General features: G+C 41.9%; 1 protein-coding gene across 5 annotated transcripts in view, besides 1 other annotated feature; it reads left to right on the forward strand.

The window, feature by feature from the left end:
* PCSK5 (proprotein convertase subtilisin/kexin type 5) overlaps positions 1–7,838 on the forward strand; it is a 473,167-nt gene extending 465,329 nt beyond the window's left edge. For all 5 annotated transcript variants that reach the window (XM_047423454.1, NM_001372043.1, XM_011518769.4 and 2 more), the window contains one exon: positions 3,376–7,838. In XM_047423454.1, coding sequence (XP_047279410.1) covers positions 3,376–3,785 — 410 coding nt within the window. In that variant the 3' untranslated portion in view covers positions 3,786–7,838. The remainder of the gene's footprint in view (positions 1–3,375) is intronic.
* Positions 9,956–10,250: a silencer, noted in NCBI's record as "tiled region #15008; HepG2 Repressive non-DNase unmatched - State 7:EnhWF, and K562 Repressive non-DNase unmatched - State 23:Low". NCBI's record gives its function as "represses a minimal TATA promoter and a strong SV40 promoter by Sharpr-MPRA in HepG2 and K562 cells {active_cell/tissue: HepG2 | K562}" and the evidence as "EXISTENCE:reporter gene assay evidence [ECO:0000049][PMID:27701403]".

Here is a 14,288-nt window from a genome sequence, read left to right on the forward strand (position 1 = left end):
CACAAACTTAGAAAGATCTCAAACTGACTGATTCCTTCTAAAAAAAGAAACATGGCCGGGCGCGGTGGCTCACGCCTGTAATCTCAGCACTTTGCGGAGCCAAGGAGGGCGGATCACAAGGTCAGGAGATCGAGAACGTCCTGGCTAACATAGTGAAACCCTGTCTCTACTAAAAATACAAAAAAATTAGCCAGGCGTGGTGGCGGGCGCCTGTAGTCCCAGCTACTCAGGAGGCTGAGGCAAGAGAATGGCGTGAACCCGGGAGGCAGAGCTCGCAGTGAGCCAAGATCGTGCCACTGCACTCCAGCCTGGGTGACAGAGCGAGACTCCGTCTCAAAAAAAGAAAAGAAAAGAAAAAAAAAGAAACATATATTCTTAAAATATACTCTCTAGTCCAGAAGTAGATAATTTCCTTGGGGTTCAGAAGTGACATTCACTGACAAAAAGCGATGCCATATTTGTGAGTTGGTCTATTTGTAAGTAAAGAAAATCCCAGACCCATAACTGCTACCAGCCATTTCTTTTTTATTTTTGATTAGCATTTTCTTTCTTTCTTTCTTTCTTTTTCTTTTTCTTTTTTTGTTTTGACAGAGTGTGGCTCTGTCACCCAGGCTGGAGTGCAATGGCACAATCTCGGCTCACGGCAACCTCTGTCTCCTGGGTTCAAGCTATTCTTCTACCTCAGCCTCCAGAGTAGCTTGGATTACAGGTGCCCACCACCACACCCGGCTAATTTTTGTATTTTTAGTACAGAAGGGGTTTCACCATGTTGGCCAGACTGGTCTTGACCTCCTGACCTCAGGTGATCTGCCCACCTCAACCTCCCAAAGTGCTGAGATTATAGGCGTGAGCTACCGCGCCTGGCTTGATCAGCATTTTCAATTGGGTTTTAAGTATCATCTTTCCAAAAACGTTTTCCTTCTTTCAGCTTTCCCACCCCCACGAGCAGCTGGTTTTCCCTGTTCTTCATACACACCTACATTCAGGGTCTGATTGCCTAATATCCATTCTGTGTCAGCTAAGAATAATAACTCTCACAACATTAATGCCTTTAAATGAAACCAGAAGTTTGTGCATGTTGCATGCAGAGTTTCTGAAAGACTGTTCCAACTAAGAACTATCTCGTCAGCTTTCCTGGTCCCCCTGCAGCTCTTGAAGAGCCACCTGCAGCAATCTGCGAAAGTATAAATGCTCTTGATTACCTGATCCTTCTTTACAGAGACACTCTGCCCCTTCAAAGAAACCATATCACAAAGGCTAACCCTGACTCTGCAGACCTGGGATGGAGAATAGTAAGCAAGGCATGACTGCATATGGCACCCTAGTAATTCAAACAACCTCAAAAGGTTTTCATATTGATTCTACTGCTTCAGGCAGTATTTATCTCACAGTACCACACACAGATTGCTTATCAATCTCTCCAATGCTTTAATGTTTTCTCCAGGGAAAAATTCTATGCTGAACTTGCTAATGATTAATGTAATAATGATAGGGCTGTTACTTTAGAAGAAGAAACTCGGCTTGATAGGTAAAATCCCATGAGAATGAAAATTATGATAAAATAGAAAACTTCTTTCTCACTAGCAAAAAAGAAAGAGAAATACATAGTCATGATGTATCAGATCTAATTGATCAATATTTAATAAGCAAAAAGCATTGCACCTTGGCAGCAGTGTTATATTCATTTATCTAGAATGAATATACCTAGAATGTACCTGTGTAGGATGTACCTAGAATTGCTCATGAAATTATCCCTTGAACACGAGAGATCCAAGAAGTTCAACAAATATTTATGAAAAACCTACCGTGTAACTCAGCTTGTACATCCAACATGGCCTCATGGCCTGATAGTTTTTTCTCTGGTTCTTTCATACTCCCATGTGGTGGGTTAAAGAATAGAAAAAAAATAGACATATTACCCAAATCATACCACCTGGAAAAATGAATAAGAAGTAAGAAAAATGAGCTCATCCTCATCACTAAAGTTACAGTTGAATCTTTCCTTCCATGAAACTGTTTTGGTTACTCCATATTCTCAATCAAGGCATCAAAACAGAGGCTGATGGATGACAGGGGTTGGAACTCCGGATTTCAAAACTCTTAATAATGGCTGGATGTGGTGGCTCATGCCCCAGAACTTTGGGAGGCCGAGGGTGATCACCTGAGGTCAGGAATTCAAGACCAGCCTGGCCAACATGGTGAAACCCCATCTCTACTAAAAATACAAAAATCAGCCAGGCATGGTGGTGTGCACCTGTAGTCCTAGCTACACAGGAGGCTAAGGCATGAGAATTGCTTGAGCTTGGGAGACAGAGGCTGCAGTGAGCCGAGCTATTGTGCTACTGCACTCCAGCCTGGGTGACAGAGCGAGACTCCATCTCAAAAAAAAAAACTCTTAATAATGATAGAAAAAAATTCCCTATCATTCAAGTTGATAGGATTTAAAGATAGTACTTCTTTTTCTGCCAGGCTAGGAGCATAAAACTCCAAGAAGCCAAAGAACTGTTGTCAGAGCCTTTTGTCCTAATGTCTTTAGACTGTAGCATGGAGCTAGGATTCCTGGATTTGAATTCTGATTGCTCCACAAATAAGGTCTTGTCTCTGACAATGTGACAATTCACTTCCTCTCGATGGACTTTAGTTTCCTCAAATGTCAAACAACAAATTGGCCTAAGTAATTTCTAAGGCCCCACATGGCTCTCAGAGTCAGTAGTTTTATAAATTATCTGCTCTTGCCCTTAAGTGGTGGGACAGTCATGTTGGCCCAGACTTAAGGGTACCTTGGGAGAGGACTCAGTCTTAGAAAAGAAGTTGGAATTGGGAAAGAAAATAGAGCATTTAGCAATAACTAAAGCTTAGTCCAAGATGAAGTATTTTCTTAGGAGGGAAATAGAAGAATCAGTTGATAATGTTGGACACCTGGTGACTGACCTACGAGGTATGGGGATAAGGGAACTCCCTTTGGATGGCAAACTGACCTTCTTTCTAGAAGGATTTATTGGCTTCATCAGACATAGGCTAGGATTCTCACGGGGTACATACTCCAATTTTATACAGTGGTATGCCTTCTAGGAAAATCAGAGACAGGCCGGGTGCGGTGGCTCACGTCTGTAATCCCAGCACTCTGGGAGACCAAGGTGGGAGGATCTCTTGAGCCCAAGAGTTTGAGACCAGCCAGGGCAACATAGTGAGATGCTGTCTCTACAAAAAAATTAAAATTAAAATTAAAAACAGAGGAAAATCAGAGACAGTGATTCTACCATTTTCAATTTTTAAAATAAAGGTGAAATTCTTTACCTCAGAAACTAATTTTCTCTATTCTATTTCTTTCACTTTTTCCCTCTTGCCTCTTCCTTTGAGGTCTTCTTCCAACAGACGAATGCATCCTTCGAACAAGCAAGGTTAGGCCTGCAACTGAGCATTTCAAGACAGCTCTGTTCATCACCTCCTCCATGATGCTGGTGCTTCTGCTCGGGGCAGCTGTGGTAGTGTGGAAGAAATCTCGTGGCCGAGTCCAGCCAGCAGCAAAGGCCGGCTATGAAAAACTGGCCGACCCCAACAAGTCTTACTCCTCCTATAAGAGCAGCTATAGAGAGAGCACCAGCTTTGAAGAGGATCAGGTGATTGAGTACAGGGATCGGGACTATGATGAGGATGATGATGATGACATCGTCTACATGGGCCAGGATGGCACAGTCTACCGGAAATTTAAATATGGGCTGCTGGATGACGATGACATAGATGAGCTGGAATATGATGACGAGAGTTACTCCTACTACCAGTAAACAGGCACTCCCCCACCAACACCACCATTCCACTCTCAGGCATGCCTGTGAGCATCACTGTTTTTGGTTTTATCCCCACACCAGGCTGATGTGTGAGTTTTTCTATTTGTCTTCTTTAACCATGAGTCCAACCAGAATATGTAAGAATGATGAAATACTTTGTTCTTCTTTTGAGTGGCTAAACTCAATTAACAGTTCCTGTTCAACCGTAATTGAAGAGCAAGGATAAAATTCAGAGGCATTTTCCTCAAAATAATGTGTTAAGACACAAAAATGAAGGAAGTGAAAACAAATGAGATTTGTACAAACTCTTCTATGTGATTTTAAAAAAAGGACAGCAGATCTATAGAAATTCTGTTTCCGAGCTGCATTGTGGAGGTGTCTGCTGCCTCCTGGTATTCTAATTTTTCTTTATCTAATTTTGGGGATAATGGAGGTACAAAGGAGTTGTTGGTTTGGTGGTGTTTTTCTTCCCTTTAGCTGTCTTTAGGCAGAAATTTGTTTTGTAAGGGCCAAGAAAAGAGGGCTCTTATCAATTGACTCCAGGCCACCCCTGGTGAGCAGAAGAGACCACCTGGGCTGGGCTGCTCAGGACCTACTTGAGATAAGGGAAGAAAAGAGAAGGTGCATCATAGCTGAGGAGCCATGAGGTCACCCCAGGCCCTAGTTCCTCCGCAGGAATCCAGAGTCACAACAATTCTAAAGGCAGAGCAAGCCCAGCGAGAAAGAAATAACTGAATTTCCAGGAACTGCACTCTCATGATTTTCTGGGTACTTTTCGCCTGGGAGACATCAGCTAAGACATCGAATAATAAAAGAAAAATGGCAGTGTTAACCTAACATAAAATGGAATAAAATGACAAACACTTCATCCGCTCTAAAAAATTCAGAGCTTTCCTTCATCAACAACCCATCACAAAACCGTGGACTCTCAATAGAAAGAGTTGGAATAGAGTCTAACATGGAAAAAAAAAAATCCCAATATGCTGCTCACAAGCTGTACTCTAGCTGCTGACCAGCCTTCCAGCACTGCTCATCACTATGATTTTTGTTTCTAGACTTCCTAGGCTTCCTTTTTTCCATTCTTCTGTCAAGTGTATTCTTGGATTCATGCAACTGAGGACAGTTTTTGTCCAGATTGTAACACAGAGAAGGGCTCTTGCTATGCAAAATGATGTTGGCAGGGTCTTACAGATTTCCTTGTCAAAATAGACCTTACAGGCAGTACTAGAAATGGAGCACCAGAAAGCAAAAATGACATTTTCAGAGAATGATGATAATTATAATCTATTGCACACCTACTACCAGATAACAAGCTAAGTAATTCCCCCCCAAAAATGCCCCACTTATCCATTTTGGTACTTACCATACTCCCATGAGGTTGGTATTGCTATTATTCTGTTCTTGTAGGAAACCTGAGGCTTACAAGAGGTTAGGTAACTAGTCCAAGGTCATGCAAAGCTCAACAAAATTCAAGAAAAAAGAATGATCACCCTAAAGCGTGTGTTCTTATAACTATGCTACTGAAATAAGGTGGGAAAATAAGCATCCTAAATATAATTAAAGTCATGCCTATTGTTTTAGTCTATAATATCAATGTTATCTTTACTAAATTCATGGATTTTCTTTTTTTAACATAATGTATCACTGACACAGAAAATCTTTATGAAGAAGTCTTCAGTTTACTAAAGGCTTGTGCTTCTTTAGAGGAAAGCTCTTAAAACAGGGTTGACAAACAGTCTCTGGAAAGAGCCAGCTAGTAAGTACATTAGGCTTTCTTGGCCAGAAAGTCTCTGTCATAACCACTCAGCTCTGCTATTATAGCATGAATGCAGCTGGTACATAACGGATGGGTGAGCTGTGCTTCAATAAAACCTTATTTATGGACACTGACATTTGAAATTCAGGTAATTTTCACATATTATAAAATTTTATTCTTCTTTTGATTTTTTTCAACCTTTTAAAATTTAAAAATGCAAAAGCTATTCTCAGTTCACAGCATTACAAGAACAGGTGGTGGGTCAGATTTGGCCAACAGGCTGTACTTTGCTGACTTTATCTTTAAAACAGTTTTCAGAGATCATACATGTACATGTATGATATGCCTCCAAAAATTTTGATCATTTAAAATTATCTCCTTGGCCAGGCGTGGTGGCTCATACCTCTAATCCTAGCACTTTGGGAGACTGAGGCAGGCAGATCACCTGAAGTCAGGAGTTTGATACCAGCTTAGCCAACATGGTGAAACCCCATTTCTACTAAAAATACAATAAAAATCTGGGCATGTTGGTGCACACCTGTAATCCCAGCTACTCAGGAGGCTGAGGCAGGCAAATCACTTGAGCCCGGGAGGCAGAGGTTGCAGTGAGCGGAGATGGCACCATTGCACTCCAGCCTGGGTGACAGAGCAAGACTCCATCTCAAAAAATAAGTAACTAACTAACTAACTAAATAAATAAATAAATAAAATTATCTCCTTGCCAGGACTGCTGGCTCATGCCTGTAATCCCAGCACTCTGGGAGGCTAAGGCAGGAGGATTGCTGACCCACCACCTGTTCTTGAGCCCAGGAGTTCGACATCAGCCTTGGACAACATAGTGAGACTCCCGTGTCTACAAAAAATTTAAAAATTAGCCAGGCATGGTGGCAAGTGTCTGTAGTCTCAGCTACTCAGGAGGCTAAGGTGGAAGGATCACTTGAACCCGGGAGGTCGAGGCTGCAGTGAGCTGTGATCTTGCTATTGCACTTCAGCCTGAATGACAGAGCTAAGACCCTGACTCAAAATAAATAAATAACATTATCTCTTCAAAATGTATCTGAAGCCCTGATAGTTCTACTTTCAATTCTTAGAAACATATAAAAATATATGCATGATAGCCATCATATCAATGGAAGACTTTCTCACCTCTGTGGTTGCAGTTAGCTTACAAAAACGAGCAATTTTGCTTATACTGTGTTGTTCATCTTCCTTGTTAATTCTAAAGCTCTGATAGACTGAGTTTGACATTTCTTTCTGTAAACTGGAAATTGTTTTCTATGAAAAAAAAACTCTATGATACACAGTTAAAGATTGGTTGAGGTTGAGATGAACTTCAATACTAAGAAAAATTGTGGTGTTCCTCTGTGTGGCCTGCAATGAAAAGAAGGCTCATGCTTGTGTATTGAGGTTTGACATCTTTCCTTCTTTGTTTTTAGTCATGCAACGTCATTCTTAGATGGCTTTTGAATACTATGCTAATGACTATCTAAATAGATAAATATGTGATTGGAAAACAAAGTCACCTTTTAGTTTTCTACTTGGAAATATTAAGAGAATCCTTGTAGACTGGAAACACACCAAAAGGCTGGGTAAAGCATGGGAGGTTCCAGTTAATAGAAAGTAATTTTAAAATTGGAAATAAAATTAAATCAAGACCAGATAATGCTATGGAGACTTACTTATTAAATAACTTTCTGAGCATTTTTATGTGCTTAGCATTACATTTTCCAAGTAAGAGATACACAACAAGAGTGCTATTTTTTCTTCTTTTTATCTTCCTACACTCAAAGACCAAGCTAGCTTTATCAATTCTGAATTTTCTCTCCTAAAAATCAGCTCAATCTGTCTTTCTGCCTCATCAGCACTGCCTCAATCTAAGGGAGGAAACCACCCCTCATATTGTCTTATGCCCAATTTCTGCCTCCAAAGAAAGAAGAAGTAAAAACTAAAAGGCAAAAATGAAATCCACAGGCAGACAGCCCGGCGCTACGCCCTGGGCCTGGCAGTTAAAGATCGACCTCTGACCTAACCGGTTATGTTATCTATAGATTCCAGACATTGTATGGAAGAGCATTGTAAAAATCCCTGTCCTGTGCTGTTTCGTTCTGATTACTGGTGCATGCAGTCCCCAGTCACGTACCCCCTGCTTGCTCAATCGATCATGACCCTCTCACGTGGACCCCCTTAGAGTTGTGAGCCCTTAAAAGGGACAGGAATTGCTCACTCGGGGAGCTCGGCTCTTGAGACAGGAGTCTTGCCGATGCTCCTGGCCGAATAAACTGCTCCTTCTTTAACTCGGTGTCTGAGGAGTTTTGTCTGCGGCTCATCCTGCTATAAATCAGGCCCTCGGTGTTTCTCATCTAGACCACTCATACTTCTTCCTGAAGTATTGTGCAGCTTTAATCTCCTTTTCTTTCTCTCCTGGCGTATTTTCTACCCTGCTATCAAAGGTCATTTCTAAGGTTCCTCAGATAATCCCATTCCGGGGTCCCCGTCACCTACAGTGTTTATGACATTCAAAACTTTGTTACATATGGCCACTGGCTCTGTCTCTGGACTTAGCACCCTCAATTTCCTGGCCCCCTCCTTATTTCCCAGCTTCTCCATTATGCTCCAACAGTACTGAATTGCTTCTAGGCTCTCCAGGATAATATACTGCTATCTCATGCCCTTGGGCACATACTGTTTACTCTCCTTGGAATATTCTTCTCCCACCTTAACCAGCTGGAAAATTCCTGACCTTCCTTGAAAAGTCACATGTCCTTATAACCTCCCCTAGGAAGTCTTCCCTAATTTTTGAGAAAGATAATCACTTTCTCCCATCTCTGCTACCTAGATACTCTGTGCATATAGCTTTTCATATCACCTTGTGATGTAATCGTTAGATTACAAAGCTGTATCCACCGAAAGACTAGGTACTCCTAGAGGCAGCTACTGTTTCTTTTCTAGAACCCAGCACAGTGCCCAGCAATTGTTTAACAATCAAGGATGACTGGTAGAATTGAATTTTAAGAAGACAAGACTCAAAGATATGGAGAAATGATCTAGGCCATATGTTGTATATGCAGTGCACTCCTGTTTAATCCTGACAGTAAATGGTAAGGAGGGGAGGAGGTGGTGCCAGTTACCCATGAAATAGCTACAAATTAGAGCATACAGATGTGGCTTCATGGGAAGATTTGTGCTTAGACTTAATTTGAAAAAGAGGATGGAGGCAGGATTCTTTGAAGAAGGCACTGGAGTTTACCTGACTTTTATGATAATAATTATAACAATCAATTACCAAGTATTTGTTAAGTGTCTAGCATGTGCCCAGCACTATTCTAGTTACTGGAAAAACAGCAACTGGGATCCATCAGATTTGAGTCCTCATGGAACTTTCAATCTAGTTGATACAGGAGCCAGAAAGAAATTATTTAGGCAGATAGTAAGGGTGAGAGAGTCCTCGATAAGATTTCCTTTTAATAAAAAGCAGCCCAAAAAATCATGGTGCAGGCATAGATAAGCAAGCTAAAAGCCTCCATAGGTAAATGCCAGCAGCTGTGCCAATAGAAAAGGGATACCTGGAAGGCAGGTGTATTCAACATGGAGGTTATCTTTTTCCTTTTCTTCATCACCACATGTGCAGTAAAAAAGCAGACAACATGGCACTGGCCAGGTAGAGACCCCATCTTCATAATAAAAGATTAGGATGGGATAGCTATCTTCTTTGCATACTATGCAAATGGTACACCTGGTCCAACCAACCTCTCAGGCCCTATGTAAATCAGACACCACCTCCTCCAGCTCCTCTATAAAATCCTGTGCATTTCACCATGAAACTGGAAGACCCACTTGGGCACCCGGAGAGAGCTATTCTCTTTTCTCTTTCCTCTGTTAAACCTCTGCTCTTAAACTCACTTCTTATGTGTCCGCATCCCCGATTTCCCTGGCATGAGATGACGAACCTCAGGTATTTACCTCAGACAATGATGCTGCTTTATAGTTAGGCAGAAAAAAGTACTGTAACTACCATTTTTAATGACATCTATGGGCCAGGCATAGTCTTTGGCACTTCACTCGTATGATGATCTTATTGACTCCTTACAACACAAATGCTATAAGGTGAGTAATCCCTTATAGCATTTTCTTTTTCAAATTAAGTCCAAGCACAAATCTTCCCATGAAGCCACATCTGTATGCTCTAATTTGTAGCTATTTCATGGGTAACTGGCACCACCTCCTCCCCTCCTTACCATTTACTGTCAGGATTAAACAGGAGTGCACTGCATATACAACATACGGCTTAGATCATTTCTCCATATCTTTGAGTCTTGTCTTCTTAAAATTCAATTCTACCAGTCATATAATCCCTCTTCACAAATGAGGAAGGGAGGCTCAGTGATGATACTCAAAATGCTGTAAGTCAAAGTGTCTGCAAATGATCAAACTGGGATTTGAATCTAGGACTCTCTGATTCATGTTTTTTCTGCTCTACCACTTGGCTGTTATGCAAAGAATTAGCCCAGCCTTTGTCTGTAATCTCTGAACCCTATTTTGGGATTAGTTTGAGCTGGGTGGAATTTACTATAATGGTGAGTCACCACAAGGCAATGCCAATGAGGTCCTAAAGGAAGCCTGCAGTTCAGGTGCACAATCTCATCCAGAGGCACAGAGATGAGGATCGGTAAAGAAAGAAACAAATTTAGGTGACTGTAAATATTAACCCTATGTAACTATGTTTCAACCCACTAAAAAATATTCATGAGAGGTTCTACCCCATAAAAGAAAAAATACCTGAAGAATTATGAATTTCCAAATGTGGATTCAGAGGTGGCATCAACTGGAGGTAAAATATTTAGAAAAACTGAAGGTAAAGACTTTAGGTGCTTAATACATACTTCTGACATTAGATCTCTCAAGATCTGTTCAGAGTTAACAAGGTTTGCTTTAGAATTCACAAAAAAAGAAACTGCTCCGTGTACTACCCAAGTGAGGAACCAAGTTTAGATGCCATTAATTGAAATACATAGTGGCCTTCATTTTACACTGTCATATAAGAAGTACAGGCTGGGAACGGTGGCTCACGCTTGTAATCCTAGCACTTTGGGAGGCCAAGGCTGGTGGATCACCTGAGGTCAGGAGTTCAAGACCAGCCTGGCCAACGTGGCAAAACCCTGTCTCTCCTAAAAATACTAAAATTAGCCAGATGTGGTGGTGGGTGCCTATAATCCCAGCTACTCGGGAGGCTGAGGCAGGAGAATCACTTGAACCCAGGGGGCGGAGGTTGCAGTGAGCTGAGATTGCACCACTTCACTCCAGCCTGGGCGAAAGAGCAAAACTCTGTCTCCAAAAAAAAAAAAAAAAAGAAATACAGATAAGACTTTCAAAAAAGAAATAGAATTTCTATCAATGCATGTTTGGCCTATATAGACTTTAGATCTAACTTGATCACCACACATTAACTAGCTGTAATTCAGCAAGGCACTCTGAGAATGAATAAACAAGATTAAAATTTGAGGTTATATTTTGGGGTTTTAAAGCCACTAATGCCACCTTGTATTATTCTCAAACATAGAAAAAAAAAAAAGTCATGAAGGTGAAGAAAGTTAATGACCAGATGTTTTGTTCATCTCTGTGGTTCTAGTGCCCAGCACACTACATGGTACAAGGCAAATATTTGCTGAGTGATTACAGACATGAAAATGCTTGTATATGTGTGCCTTCTAAGAGTAGAAGCCATGGAACTGGGTTCCATGGCCAAACTTAGCTGTAAGGAAGGCTGGAAAGCAATTATGTGATAAAGGGTAATGAGATTACCATGATGCACTTAGAAGAATCATGACTCATCTTCTGGGGCTTTGCAGCTCTAAATAAAAATCGATTTTCATTATCACGGAAGAGGAAGGTAGGGCAGGGTAGCTGTTAGGTTACCAGCAGCTAAGAATACCTATCCTATCCGCAAGACCCCGTTTCTATTTTTTTGAATCTTTTTTAATTAAAAAAAAAGAATATCACTCTAACAAAAGTGTTTACTGAGAACTGATCCCAGCCTGCAAGGGAAATTATATAAGGCTTATTAGATGAAGCAAACATCTGTTTGTGAAAGAGAGGATTATAATATAAGATCAGAACACGATTGAGGATGGAGAATTCCCATCCCTCTGACTAAGTTATTGTTACCAAGTGAAGCCACTTTGGGGGCTAGCAGTGTAATTCTGGACCTGGTGCAGACGTTGCTGTGTCATTTAAAGTGATTTTAATGTAAATGATAGAAAATTCAACCCAACTGACTTAAATACAAAAAAAATGTATTGGCTTAATTAAAAAGTGTAAAGGGCCCGGCATGGTGGCTCACCCTGTAATCCCAGCACTTTGGGAGGCCCAGGTGGGAGGACTGCTTGAGCCCAGGAGTTTGAGGTCAGCCTGGGCAACATGGCCGAAACCCCATCTCTACAAAAAATACAAAAATTAGCCAGTATGGTGGCACACATCTGTAATCCCAGCTACTCGGGAGGCTGAGGTGGGGGGATTGCTTGAGCCCAGGGGGTTGAGACTGCAGTGAGCCATGATCACACCACTACATTCCAGCCTGCACGACAGAGCGAGACCCTGTCTCAAAACAAAAACAAAAACAACTGAACATGGTGGCACAGCCTATTGTCCCAGTGACTAGGGAGGCTGAAGCTAGAGGACTGTTTGAACCCAAGAGTTTGAGGCTTCAGTGAACTATGATTGCACCACTTAACTCCAGCCTGGAGGACAGAGTGAAGCCCTGTCTCTTACTGAAAAAAAAAAAAAAAAAAAAGTGTAGGGTTAGGGGTGGGACCAGGTACTGCTGGAAATGAACAAGCCATGACCGCAGTACCGGTTTGTCTCCATCTCTCTCTCCTGCCTTTTGCTATGTTGGCTCCACTCTCACTGGAGTCTCCCTAAACACTGGCAAGATGGCTGCCGCCAGTGCCCGAGTTTGCATTCTCTTTGGTCCACATCCAATAGGAAAAAGGCCTTAGCTCTGATCCAAGTCTCTGAAAAGCTTTCCTGATATCTCATTGGCTTAGAAAAGGCATTTGCCTGTTTCTATGGTGTAAGTACTCTCATCATGGCCAAATTCAAGCTTCAACTGCCATACCACTTAATACAGAGTGAGAAAGAAATTGAAAAAAGCAAACCATCATATAGTATTTCTGCCATACAAATGCATTAGATGTAAATAATCTCAAGAGCATAGATAATAATAAAATGTAAACTTAAGAAAGATGAGTTGGGGGGGCATTTTTTACCTGTTTTTATATAACTTCTTTTTTTTTTTTTTTTTTTTGAGATGGTGTCTTGCTCTGTCGCCCAGGCTGGAGTGCAGTGGCGCCATCTCGGCTCACTGCAAGCTCCACCTCCCGGGTTCACGCCATTCTCCTGCCTCAGCCTCCCGAGTAGCTGGGACTACAGGCGCCCGCCACCATGCCCGGCTAATTTTTTGTATTTTTAGTAGAGATGGAGTTTCACCATGTTAGCCAGGATGGTCTCAATCTCCTGACCTCGTGATCTGCCCGCCTCGGCCTCCCAAAGTGCTGGGATTACAGGCGTGAGCCACCGCGCCTGGCCACTAATACAACTTCTTTAGTTGAAAGTTTTTGTAACTTAACTTTTAATGATAGCTGTATCTAACAAGTGACCCTCAGGATGGGCACAGTGGTTCACGCCTGTAACCCTCGCATTTTGGGAGGCCGAGGCAGGTGGATCACCTGAGGTCAGGAGTTCGAGACCAGCCTGGCCAACATGGTGGAACCTCGTCTCCACAAAAAATACAAAAATTAGCCAGGCGTGGTGGCGGCCGCCTGTGATCCCAGCTACTCGGGGGGCTGAGGCAGAAGGATTGCTTGAACCTGGGAGGTGGAGGTTGCAGTGAGCTGAGATTGCCCCGTTGCACTCCAGCCTGGGCAACAGAGAGAGACTCCATGTCAAGATAAATAAATAAATAAAATAACAAGTAACTCTCTAGATTCCTGAAAACTTAACAATTGGCTTTTGTAAGGTAAGAGAAGCCAGCTTCAACACACTACTCTTAAAAATATAATAATTTTTCCATAAATCTAGAACATACTACTCTTTTCTAAGTAGAATCTTCTCTGTGATTTTTCTCTCAGTATCAAATCTCTTATCCAGAATTTCCTCTTTTTATCTCATTTATTCCCACACTCCAGTGCTATGAGAAAGCAATATCAAATTTTTAATAATGTCTTAGCAACTCTCCTGCCTCAGCTTCCCAGTAGCTGAGATTACAGGTGCACACCACCGCACCCAGTTGAACTTTGTATTTTTAGTAGAGATGGGGTTTTGCCATGTTGGCCAGGCTGGTCTTGAACTACTGAGCTCAGGTGATCTGCCTGCCTCGGCCTGGGATTACAGGTGTGAGCCACCATACCAGGCCAGCAAACACTGTTTTAATTACAGTACACAATTCTGGAGTTCTGTCCACTACCACCTGCACGAACATGGGCAATTTCATGTTACTTGGTAAAAGAGTAACCCAATGTCTTCATTTTCTTTTTTTTCTTTTCTTTTTTTTGAGATGGAGTTTTGCTCTTGTTGCCCAGGCTGGAGTGCAGTGGCGTGATCTTGGCTCACCACAACCTCCACCTCCCGGGTTCAAGTGATTCTCCTGCCTCAGCCTCACAAGTAGCTGGGACTACAGGCACCTGCCACCACACCTGGCTAATTTTTGTATTTTTAGTAGAGACGGGGTTTCTCCATGTTAGCCAGGCTGG

This window comes from Homo sapiens, chromosome 9 (genome assembly GCF_000001405.40).
Source record: "Homo sapiens chromosome 9, GRCh38.p14 Primary Assembly".
Classification (NCBI taxonomy): domain Eukaryota; kingdom Metazoa; phylum Chordata; class Mammalia; order Primates; family Hominidae; genus Homo; species Homo sapiens.